The following is a 12214-nucleotide window of genomic DNA, read 5'->3' on the forward strand; positions in this document are numbered from 1 at the left end:
CCTGCTGTTGAGACTGAGACTGGATGGGGCATGGGAGGAGCACAAGACTGACTAACTGTCCAGAAAGTAGGTATGCCTGCTCAGCCTGCATTCCTAATTCCCCTGCCCTTTCTGTCTTTCATTTGATTCATAGGAGAAAGAGGGACCGGAGGCTCCGAAGGAAGAGCATTGCTGGACCACACACTGTGGATAAGACAGGAGGTGAGGCAGAGCAGGGTTTCTACAGCCCCGAGAGTGGCAGCCTTCCTCACTTCCTGTTACTGTTGTCCTGAGGGAACTCTGCTGGCGACAGCGGGGTGGGGGACTCTTATGTGACACTGGGTCCTCCGGGGTGGGAGCGGGGGGCAGGCTGGGTTTTCAGTTATTAAAATGAACCAATCACTGTACACACACCAATTAGTGCATTAAATATTATTAAAGTTGCCTGGGCACAGTGGCTCACGCCTGTAATCCCAGCACTTTGGGAGGCCGAAGTGAGCAGATTGCTTGAACCCAGGAGTTCAAGACCAGCCTGGGCAACATGGCAAAACCCTGTCTCTACAAAAAAAAAATAGAAAAATTAGCTGGGCATGGTAGTGTGCACCTGTAGCCCCAGCTACTCAGGAGGCTGAGGTGGGAGGATCACCTGAGCTTGGGAGTGGGTTCTGTTATTTTCCCCATTTGCTGAGCTGTCTAGAGATGAACTGGCCCAGGGCTGTGTGATAGATAGGTCAGTAGCCCATCCAGGGTTAATCAAGTGTTCTCAATCACTTGTGGTCAAGTTATGGGCATGGGTCATGACAGTGACTTAATACAGTTCATGTCAAATTATAAATTCCAGGAGACTGAAACTCTGTTTTTCCCCTATCCCCAGCACCTAACGCACAGCCTGGTATATACAGATGGTGCTCAATAAACACTTACTGGATGAATGATGTGACCAGAGACTGCTCTCCTAGGTAGCCTCCACCCAACTCCACCAACGTGGAATAGGGATGGGGCAGTTGGATGTGCACAGGAGAAATAGACCACAGGTGCCCATGTCACAGCTGGACGAGCTGGACAGCGCTATGGTATAACAGTGCTCACTTCTCTGGCAGATCAGGCTGGAGGCAAGGAACTGATATACCTTCTGAATGTTCCAGTCCGTGGAGAGCCTAGGGCAGAGGGGACTCCCTGGGACAGAATTTCTAGCGCTCCCTGATATTCCTGTCATGACCCACAAACTAGGAACCCCATGTTTGTCTCTCTTCCCTCTTTTTTTATAAGAAAATCAGATAACACTGTAATAGGAGTTAAGTTTAAAATTAGAGCATACAGCAAAACTACAAAGAATCCAAGTAATACATTTAAAAAACAAAACAAAAATAGAGACAGGGTCTCGCTGTGTTGCCCAGGCTGGTCTCGAACTCCTGGCTCAAGCAATCCTCCTGCCTCGGCCTCCCAAAGTGTTGGGCATGAGACACTGCACCCAGCCCAAGTAATCTTTAAATGTTCCTCGAACCCCCACAACTACACTTTTGAAAATTCCAATATTTAAATTCTTTGGTTTCTCCATGCAGTTTAGCTGTGGCCACCCTTTCTCTGGGATAGTGGAAACGGGGTCTAGTTGATGGAGGTCAGGAGAATGGTGACAAGAAAAATAAAAAGAGGTTTCTCCTCTCTCTTCTGCTTTCTTTTTGCCAAGTCTTTGGAATTGAAGCTGCCAAAGTTACTTGAGCCCATGATGCCACTGTGCCATGAAACAGAAGACTCTGACCTCTACAAAGCAGACAGAGCAGGGCCTGCTCCAGCCAGACAGAGGTGCTGCCAAAAAGGGACCATGTGTGGTACCCTCTGACTGCCTGGAGAGACCTCATGGGCCCTGTGAGGGGCAGGCTGGAGAAAGAAGCAGGTGGCGGCTCCCTCCCCACCAGACCCACCCAGAGGGAGGCTGAGGAGCTGCTTACCCCCACCACAGGCCTGGATGAAAAAGAGCTTGGGCTTCCCTCCCAGGCTGGGGCAGCTGGTCCCATTGAAGATGTTCACAATCTTCTCGACCGACACAGGGCATCCATCTGTGCCGTAGACAGCCCCTGGGAACTGCAGGTGGCTGGCCTAGAAGACCAAGAACCCTGGTTACAAAACCAAGAAGTTGGAGTAGGAATCCAACAGCCTGTTCAGAGGTTTTGTGGGAGCCAAGGATTTGGAAGGTCAAAGCCAGGGGCACGAGGCTGATTGAGACAGAGCAGGTTGGTTCTGGAAAGACCCTGGTCAGCATCTGGAAAGACACCTTGACAGCAAGGGGTTGCATGTCAAACTCATGTGCCTCTAGGGGCCAGTGTGCCTGGAGAGTGCTGGCTGCGGCCTCTAGACCAGTGGTTCTCAAAGTTTGGCCCCTGCAGCAGCGGCATCAATATCGCTTGGGAACTTGTAAGAAATGTGATTCCTGGGCCCCACCCAGACCTCCTAATCAGCAGTATGGTCCTCCAGGCCCCTCTGACTGAGGCAGCTCAACGCTGAGAGTGGCTGCTTTAAATCAGTTCAGCTCAGACCTCAAGGGCATGGAAATCACCTGGAAACCTTGTTGCTGGGCGGACTTGGAATGAAGAGGTCCAGGGTAGGGCCTGGGAGTCCACATTCTTCATGAGCTCTAGGGACCATATTATGAGAGAAAGGACCAAAGGGAAAGCCCTGCCCAGCCACAGGCTGGAGTTTTACTGGCTGAAGATGCTGGCCTCGTCAGGCCAGACCTTTGCGGTTTGTCAAGAGAAACTAGAAATCCTGATTTTTATGTGAAATTTGCCAGTTTTCAAAACACCGTGCAGACCACAGGGGGACTCCAGGCCCCAGCTTATAACTGTGATCTGTCCAACTCCTCAACTTAAAAGATGAGGAAACTGAGGCCCAGTAAGGGGTAAGGGCTTAATCACAGTGACAAATACGTAAGGGGCCAAGCCCCCAGTGGGCCTGGTGTCCTGAGTCCCACCAGCAGCAAGGGGCCTGGGGCAGTGCCTCACAGGACAGAGACAGGAGCTGAGACAACATGTGTGCTGTACCCGCCTCTGAACAAACTCTGGGTGCAGGAGCTTCGTGAGCAGACCTGGTCTCTGCCCTCCCTCTCCCAGAGGGCTTCTCCCAGGAACACCGACCTGCCCAGGACGGTGCAGCCAACTCCTCAGAGGACCACATGGCTCCCAAGAAAACAACAGGAGGTGGGCAGGGCCCCACAGCCCTTTTCCACAAAGCCAAGGGTGTTTTGGACACAAGAAGGGACATGGCCCCTGCACAGCCTCTTGGCACGGCCAGTACCCAATGCCTGCCCAGGGAACAGTGGGAGGCTTCCTACCTGACAGCCGTGAGAGAGAATGACCACCACGCAGCAGTCCAGAGCACCGTGGTCCTGCTGCGCCAGCTCCAGCAAAGCCAGCACCATTTTCTACAAGAGAGGGCTGCAGGTGAGCCAGAAGCACGGATAGGTCTAGATGCAGACTGGACCGTTCCTAACAATAAAAGGGCCCAGCCTGGCCAGGCATGGTGGTTCACGCCTGTAATCCCAGCACTTTGGGAGGCCAAGGCAGGTGGATCATTTGAGGTCACGAGTTCGAGACCAGCCTGGCCAACATGGTGAAACCCCGTCTCTACTAAAAATACAAAAAAAAAAATTTAGCCAGGCATGGTGGCACACACCTGTAATCCCAGCTACTCAGGAGGCTGAGGCAGGAGAATTGCTTGAACCTGGGAGGTGGAGGTTGCAGTGAGCCGAGATCGCGCCACTGTACTCCAGCCTGGATGACAGAGTGGGACTCTGTGCCCCCGCCCCCCCCAAAAAATAAAACAACAAAGGGCCCAACCCAAACGCCTGGGCAGAGCACTTTCTCGGTTTCCCAGGGCCAGTACCGAAGTGCTGACAGTCCCAGCAGTCGTAATAGCCACCATTTTTGGGGAGAAGGTGCTACGCTTGGGCACTGTTCATCTAACCCCCAAAACAACCCAAGGAGGCAGGTACTATTCCTGCTTTCCAGACAAGGAAACTGAGGCACAGGAGGTCACACAGCAGGTGGCCGAGAGAGCCAGTCCTCAAACCCGGACTTCTGCGTCTGAACTTGAACCTGTAGCCGCTGGGCCGTCCTACCTCCCATGGTCCTCCAGATGTAAGGGCTCGCCTGGGGAGTCAGCTGGCTTTTGGAGTCCCTCAAAAGATACTTCCCCACCCACTGCCCCCCACCCTGTCTCCCTCCACAGATAGTGAGTGTACCTTGGCAGTCAGGTCGCCCTTCACCTCCACCATGAAATGCAGCGAGGAGAAGCGACGCCGCAACTTCTCACAGTCGATGTTGGAGCCAGTGCGGGTGCGGAGCCCGGACTCACGGCAGAAGTTCACATTGTTGATAATGAGGCAGTGGCCACAGGGCTCCATGCTCAGGATGTAAGCCTGCCAGCACAGGGACCCACGTAAACCCGGGCTCTCCCCACGCTCCCTAGAGGACAGTCTGGAGAGGCGGGAAGAAAACGGGGTCTGCCCTCTCGCACAAGGAGTAGCAGGGTCTCCACCCGGCATTCCAGGGCAAAAGAGAAGCAACTGCAGGGAAGACTAGCACTAGAAGGTGACCCCCCCATCTTGGTATTAAGGGAAGGGAGCTGGTAACCTGGAAATCCAACAGCCATGAGCATTCATCCCAAAGGACCTCACGGGTCACCTAGGCCGGGGTGTACCTGAGAACTCTGTCAGCAGAACCATGCCCAGGCCACCTGGAGGCACCCAAGGCTGCCCTCTCCCCAGGCTCAGTCCCCTTGTAATTCTCTCAAGGCAGCCTGTTCTTTTGTTGATGGTACTTATCACTATTTCTATTTATATACTCATTTGTCTAACTTCTCTCTCGCCTAACTGACTGATGGCTCCTTCCCAGGTGGCCCCAGCACAGAGCATGGGAGCCACACAATAAATACTTGTGAATGAGAGAGTGGCGACTTGGTCTGGATCCCGATGACTGCCCCTCATCAGGTCTGCCCTGCTTCTGCTGTCAGCTTTGCAGATGAGGAAGCGCAGAGATGAACAATCTGCCCCAGCAGGCGCTGGGCCGGAGTCAGGGAGGCTGAGACCAGACCCCCACTGCACTGCCTAGGGTTGGGTTCCCTGGGCTCCTGACACACCTGCAGGGAAGGACCTGAGGGGTGGGGAGGGAAGGGCCCAGAGCCCGAGCTACTGGCCCAAATTTCATGGAGACTCACCAAATCTGCATTTCCCCTCAAACTCTCAAGAGCACCTGAAGAGGCAGAGAAAGAGAGAAACATGAATGTTGGGTTACAGCAGAGGAGGGGCAAGGGGCTCTGTGAGGACAGCCCCCCAAGAACGGAGCAGCGAGAACTCAGACCCTCAGACTCTGCTGGTGGGAGAGCCACCTTGGAGATCTGTTTAGAGGTTTCTAACAAAGTTAAACACACACCTACCCTCTGACAGCAAGTCCACCCTTAGGTATATATCAAAGAGCAAGGAGTGCAAACGGGCACAAAAGACTTGGCCAAAATGTTCCCTGAGGCCTTATTCATCACGCCCCAACATGGAAACAACCAATCTAACAACAGTTTGGTAGATATACAAATTGTGATACAGCCACACAAGAGAACATTACACAGCCTAAAAAGGAATGAGCTACTGATGATACAGGAGACAGAAAGAAATTATTTAGGCAGATAGTGAGGGTAAAACAGTCCTCGGCAGAATTTCCCTTTTAACAAAATCCCCAAATCGTTTCTTTTCTTTTTTTTCTTTTTTCTTTTTCTTTTTTGAGACGGAGTTTCACTCTTGTCGCCCAGGCAGGAGTGCAATGGCACTATCTTGGCTCACTGCAAACTCTACCTCCCAGATTCAAGCAATTCTCCTGTCTCAGCCTCCCAAGTAGCTGGAATTACAGGCACCCACCACCATGCCCGGCTAATTTTTTTGTATTTTTAGTAGAGACGGGGTTTCACCATGTTGGCCAGGCTAGTCTCAAACTCTTGACCTCAGTTGATCCACCCACCTCAGCCTCCCAAAGTGTTGAGATTACAGGTGTGAGCCACTGCACCCAGCCTCAAATCATTTCTTTTCTAAAAAAGAGCAGCCTGAAAAATCAAGCTGCAGACATAGATAAGCAAGCTGGAAGCTCACAGGAGTGAATGCCAGCAGCTGTGCCAATAGAAAAGGGCTACCAGGGGGCCAGATATACTCAGCAAAGAGGCTCTATCTTCCCTTTTGTTACCACAAGACAGTAAAGAAGTAGGCAACATGGCACTGGCCAGGTAGAGAACCCATCTGCATAACACAAGATTGGAGTGGGGCTGGCCAGCTTTTCGCACCACATGCAAATGGCACACCTAGCCCTAACCAGTTTTATGCATCCTATGCAAATGAAACACCTGGTCTGACCAATCTTTGTGCCCTTTGTAAATCAGACACCATCTCCTCAGGCTCATCTTTAAAACCCCTTGCATTTCATTGCAGAAACAGCAACCCATTTCACTGGAACCCCTCTCTCTGCAGCAGACAGAGCTCTTCTCTTTCTTTCACCTATTATACTTCCACTCTGAACCTCACTGTATGTCCGTGTCCTAGTCTTCCGTGGCTGTGAAGACAATGAATCTTGGGTATTTACCCCAGACGAGTGACACCGCTTCACTGATACACGCAATGCGGGATAACCTTGAAAATGTGCTGCGTAAGGCCAGGTGCGGTGGCTCACGCCTATAATCCTGGCACTTTGGGAGGCAGATCACCTGAGGTCAGGAGTTCGAGACTAGCCTGGCCAACGTGGTGAAACCCCATCTGTACTAAAAATACAAAAAAAAAAAAAAAAAAAGAAAAATTAGCCAGGCGAGGGGGCAGGCGCCTGTAATCCCAGCTACTCGGGAGGCTGAGGCAGGAGAATCGCTTGAACCTGGGAGGCAGAGGTTGCAGTGAGTCGAGATCACGTCATTGCACTCCAGCCTGGGCAACAAGAGCAAAACTCCATCTCAAAAAAAAAAAAAAGAAAGAAAACGTGCTGCGTGAAAAAAGCCAGACACCAGAGAGTATAGAAATAGTGTGGTCTCATTGAGAAGAAATTCCAGAGCAGAAAGAGGTGAGAGAAGCTCAGGAGAGCGGATGCTCACTGTCTGCGAGTCCACAGGGGCCCAGCACACAGCAGGTCCTCAGGAAATACTTGCAGAATGAATAAATGAATAAAGATGATTATTTTCCATCAACATCAAAAGAGTTTTCATTTCCGTTAGCAAGAAGTTGACTGGCCACCAGCCTAAAAGGTTATGAGATGTTTTTTCTTTTTTTTTGAGACAGAGTCTCGCTCTGTCACCCAGGCTGGAGTGCAGTGGCGCGATCTTGCCTCGCTGCAACTTCTGCCTCCTGGGTTCAAGCGATTCTCCTGCCTCAGCCTCCCAAGTAGCTGGGAGTACAGGCACCTGCATCACGCTTGGCTAATTTTTGTATTTTTAGTAGAGATGGGGTTTCACCATGTTAGCCAGGCTGGTCTCGAACTCCTGACCTCAGGTGATCCACCTGCCTCACCCTCCCAAAGTGCTGGGATTACAGGCATGAGCCACCACGCCCGGCCTACATTTTTTCTTTTTTAAACAAGGAGAATACAGTGGCCACCTCCAAGTTGCAGTGGAGCCCATACTCCTGTTCCAATAACAGTGCCATTCCTTGCTTAGAACAGGTCTGAACTATTCTGCCAGCTTAAAGGCCACAGCAGAAAAGCACTCACATCCCATTCACATCCCATTTTTAAAGTTAGAAATGGTTTTACCTACCCTGAAAATTCCTATTCATCCACAGACTTCATTCTGAGAACATTTGCTCATTTCCAAAATTCCGCTGTACCCCAAAAATATAACTACTATCCACTACTGAGGAATTCACTCATTCCCCAAATTAGAAATATCTATTGATAAAGCAAAATGACTGCTCTCAAGAGGCCAAGGGCTACAGGTGCCCATGGAGGGAGCAAATCAACCAAGGGGTGCCCAAAGAAAGAGGGAGAGGAGACACTCCAGGCAGAGGCCCCGGCATGAGCAAAGGCAGGGAGGATGCAGGAGCATGGCATGTTCAGGGCCCCTCAAGTTGGGTGACATGGTCAGATACAAGGTGCATGAGACCAGTTTCTCCTGAAATGGCCACTCCCATGGGGACAATAAACACACATGGCTAAGTGTGTGCAAAAGAATCAGTCTTCCAGCCTGAGTCACTGGGCATGTGCCCAGGTCTCCAACACAAACAGAAGAGGGCAAGCACATCCTCTCTGCCACCCAAGGGAAAGAAGGGGTTTCGTCCCTCCGAACCTATGCTGGAATCACCCCAGAAGTGGCAGCAGAAGAGTTCCCACAAGGGAGTGCCCCAAACTGTCCTAAGATGGGGCCAGTTGGGATTCCAAAGAAAGAAGCAATAAATGCCAGGGCGATCTGGCCAAAGCAATCCTCGAGGTGCGGAGGCGAGAAAAAAAAACAGGTGTCTACCTAGGTTTGGTCCAAAGTGAAGAGGTCAGGGTAAGGAGTTTATATGAGGGTTTAAGGAATTTGGCTCAGGGCCAAGGCTGGTTTCTTTCAGTTGTTTTGGGTGATAACCTAGATACCTTTTTGTTTTGTTTTGTTTTTGGAGACGGAGTCTCACTCTCTTGTCCAGGCTGGAGTGCAGTGGTACAATCTCAACTCATTGCAAACTTTGCCTGCTGGGCTCAAGTGACCCTCCCTCCTAAGCCATCCAAGTAGCTAGGACTACACCACCACACCTAATTTTTTTTTTTTTTTCAGACAGAGTCCCGCTCTGTCGCCCAGGCTGGAGTACAATGGCACAATCTTGGCTCACTGCAACCTCTGTCTCCCAGGTTCAAACAATTCTCCTGCCTCAGCCTCCCAAGTAGCTGGGATTACAAGCACACACCACCACGCCCAGCTAATTTTTGCATTTTTAGTAGAGACAGGGTTTCATCATGTTGGCCAGGCTGGTCTCAAACTACTGGCCTCAAGTGATCCATCCGTCTTGGCCTCCCCAAGTGCTGGGATCACAGGCGTGAGCCACCATGCCCAGCCTACCTAGATACCTTTATCAATGCCTGAGAATGTTTAAGGCCCAGGTTTGGGCTCAGGTCTGCTGGGAAAAACCTGTAGCTGGCTGGGTCACAGGGTGGTCAAAGCACTCTGTGATTTTCAATCAGGACACAGAAAGAAACAGGGGAACTGGGGGACCCTACAGAAGGGAAGATGCCCTAGGACTGGCCCTCCCCAGCCCTTGGCAATTTAGAAATCACAGAAGGAAGCAGAGCTGACCAACAAGACCCAAGGCTCACTCAATAGGAGGCCCCATGTGAAGTCCCTCCACACACTGCCTCATTTACTCCTCAGAGCAGGCCCTTCAGCACAGAAGTACTGGCACACATCCCCATTTGCCAGAGGGGAATTGGGGGCTCAGAGACCCTGAGTTGTAATGGGAGGTGAGCACAGCCACCAGCCCCAGAGCAAAGAGACCAAGAAGCCAGGTAGGGCTGAAAAGCCAACTTCTACTTTCAAGGAAGTTCCAACCCAGGCAAGGCATGAGCAGAGAAAGCCACTGATGGTTGAGTTCACAGGTCAACTTGACTAGATCACAGGGTACCCAAATATTTGGTTAAATATAACAGTATTTCTCAGGGTGCCTGTGAGAGTGTTTTGGGGATGAGAATGGGATTTGAATAGGTAGACAGAGTAAAGCAGATGGCCCTCCCCAGGATGGTGGGCCGCGTCCAATCCGTCAAGGGCCTGAATAGAACGAAACAGTGGAGAATGGGAGAATTTGATCTCTCTCTGTCTCACTACTTGAGCTGGGACATCAGTCTTCTCCTGCCTTTGGAATGGGACTTCTACCATTGGTGCTCCTGGATCTCAGGCCTTCAGACTCAGACTGGAACTACACCACCAGCTTTCCTGGTCTCCAACTTGCAGATGGCAGATCTTGGAACTTCTCAGCGTCCATAATTGCATGAGCCTGTTCCTTGTAATAAATATGTTTTTAGATAAAGATATATATATATACACACACAAAAAAAATGCATATATCTTTCTATATATATCCGTGTGTGTATGTGTGTATATGTATATATATAAAACAGAGGCCCAGAGACTCAACTACTTGTCCACTGTGACACAGCTGCTAAGTGTTGGAGTTGGGCTTTGAACCAAGTACCTCGGACTCACTCCATCACTGCCTCATAAAGGACAAATGGCTTGGCCAGGTGCAGTGGCTCACGCCTGTAATCCCACCACTTTGGGAGGCTGAGGCGGACAGATCACGAGGTCAGGAGATCAAGACCATACTGGTTAACATGGTGAAACCCTGTCTCTACTAAAAAAAATACAAAAAAATTAGCTGGGCATGGTGGCAGGTGCCTGTAGTCCCAGATACTCGGGAGGCTGAGGCGAGAGAATGGCGTGAACCCAGGAGGCAGAGCTTGCAGTGTGCGGAGATCGCGCCACTGCACTCCAGCCTGGGCAACAGAACAAGACTCCGTCTCAAAAAAAAAAAAAAAAACGAACGGCTCATTCTCTTTCTTGTCTGTGTATATGTGCCATTAATCATTAGCTCATGCAAATGTTTACTAAGTACCTGCTGAGTTCTAGGTGTTGGGGATGCAGCATTGAACAAAAGATGCTGTTTTATACACATACACACACCCCCTATTGGTTCTCTTTCTCTGGAGAATCATGAGAACACAGCCACCAACAGTTCTCCCAGTCCTCCCGGGCAAGAGGCCCTGGCTGGAACAAGCAGTTACACACAAGGCATCACGTCTGAAACTAAGAAAGTTCCTTCCATTCTGAAGGAAAAGGCATTTTCCTTTGAATATACAAAGACAAAGCCACTCTCTCTGGTGGGTCCCCTAATGATGCACCTCTAAAGCACCGTGTTCAGCTTCATAGCACTACCCACAGCCGTGAATAAAGACCAAATTAGGCAAGCATGAACTGAGTACCTGCCCCTCTCCACCTGAAGGCAAGGACTGGGCATCCTTGTTCGAAGCTGCATCCCCAACACCTAGAACCCAACAGGTACTTAGTAAACATTTGTGTGAGCTAATGAGTAATGGCACAAATATAGGGACAAGAAAGAGAATGAGCCATTTGTTCTTCATGAGACAGTGATGGAGTGAGTCTGAGGTACTTGGGTTCAAATCCCAACTCCAACACTTAGCACCTGTGTCACAATGGGCAAGGAGCTCAGAGTCTCTGGGCTTCTGATTTCCCCATCTGTATTACAGGATAATAGGAGCAACTACCAACCTCATAGGATTGTGATGACACCTCAAACAATTAATACATGTGAGGCACATAGAACAATACCCGACACACTTGACAACTCAATAAAACTGATGTGTCCACATTATTATTCATTGACACTCATGCTCAATGAATATGTATGAGTGCAGTGTGTGTACTCAGCCCCACCACACTAACCCTTTGGGCCAGATTCTTCTTTATTGTGCAGAGCTACTCTGTACACTGTTGGGTTTTGGCAGCATCTCTGTCTACCCACTAGATGCCAGTAGCACCCACCCACCCTCAGCTATAACAACCAGATTTGTCTCTAGACATTGTCAAATGTCCCTTGGAGGTCGGGGAAAAATCGTCCCCAGTGTGAAACACTGACCTACAGCATCCTTTCCTGTATTCACTTATTAAAGGCTCTGCTGCTGGCCCTATTCTTGCTCAGCCAGACCTTCCCATACATATGAATACACAGCTCTTCCTTTGTGGGTCACCATGAAACCTACCTTGGGAAACATTCCCATGCAGTACTCTGGAGTCTAAGGCCCAGCATCTAAAAAGGACATCTCTCAGCAGCTCATGGAAAATGGGACAGTCGCTCTATTAAGCCAGAAGACCTAGGCCCAAGTCCTAGCTCTGTACTGGAACTCACTTTGTGACTGTTGCTCTCAGAACCCAGTTTCCTCCCCTGTAAGTAGCATATAATGACAGACGGGCTTGCCATGTCTACCACGGCACAGGGTGGTTTTGATGACCTGAAAAAACACTGTGTATACTACAAAGTGATATTCACATTATTTAAAGTGATCTTGGGCCAGCCGTGCTGGCTCATACCTATAATCCCAGCACTTTGGGAGGCTGAGGCGGGTTTATCACTTGAGGTCAGGAGTTCAAGACCAGCCTGGCCAACATGGGGAAACCTTGTCTCTATCAAAAAATACAAAAACTAGCCAGGCATGGTGGTGCACCTGTAGTCCCAGCTACT

The 12214-nt window shown here is 50.2% G+C and overlaps 1 protein-coding gene across 9 annotated transcripts in view, besides 2 other annotated features; it reads right to left on the minus strand.

Annotated features, from left to right (window-relative positions):
* The window catches only part of CASP9 (caspase 9), a 33512-nt gene that overhangs the window by 11282 nt on the left and 10016 nt on the right, over window positions 1–12214 (minus strand). For 5 of the 9 annotated variants that reach the window (NR_102733.2, XM_005246014.3, NM_032996.3 and 2 more), the window contains exons 3-6: window positions 5191–5225; window positions 4217–4393; window positions 3308–3397; window positions 1929–2076 (exon numbers count right to left, since the gene is read on the minus strand). The exons of 1 other annotated variant lie outside the window; for it this stretch is intronic. Coding sequence is in view for 5 of the 8 variants with exons in the window: in XM_005246014.3 (XP_005246071.1) it covers window positions 1929–2076; window positions 3308–3397; window positions 4217–4393; window positions 5191–5225 (450 nt within the window). In the remaining 3 variants the exon portion in view is untranslated. Of the gene's footprint in view, window positions 1–1928; window positions 2077–3307; window positions 3398–4216; window positions 4452–5190; window positions 5226–12214 lie in introns of all 9 variants that reach the window. 3 more of the 9 variants (NR_102732.2, XM_047432034.1, XR_007064158.1) reach the window with 3 other exon arrangements.
* Window positions 2713–3213: an enhancer, noted in NCBI's record as "H3K4me1 hESC enhancer chr1:15831890-15832390 (GRCh37/hg19 assembly coordinates)". NCBI's record gives its function as "activates a minimal SCP1, AML or CMV promoter by ChIP-STARR-seq in primed H9 embryonic stem cells {active_cell/tissue: H9 hESC(primed)}" and the evidence as "EXISTENCE:reporter gene assay evidence [ECO:0000049][PMID:30033119]".
* Window positions 6650–7579: an enhancer, noted in NCBI's record as "NANOG-H3K27ac hESC enhancer chr1:15835827-15836756 (GRCh37/hg19 assembly coordinates)". NCBI's record gives its function as "activates a minimal SCP1, AML or CMV promoter by ChIP-STARR-seq in naive H9 embryonic stem cells {active_cell/tissue: H9 hESC(naive)}" and the evidence as "EXISTENCE:reporter gene assay evidence [ECO:0000049][PMID:30033119]".

The sequence above is a fragment of the Homo sapiens genome, chromosome 1 (genome assembly GCF_000001405.40).
Source record: "Homo sapiens chromosome 1, GRCh38.p14 Primary Assembly".
NCBI lineage: Eukaryota > Metazoa > Chordata > Mammalia > Primates > Hominidae > Homo > Homo sapiens.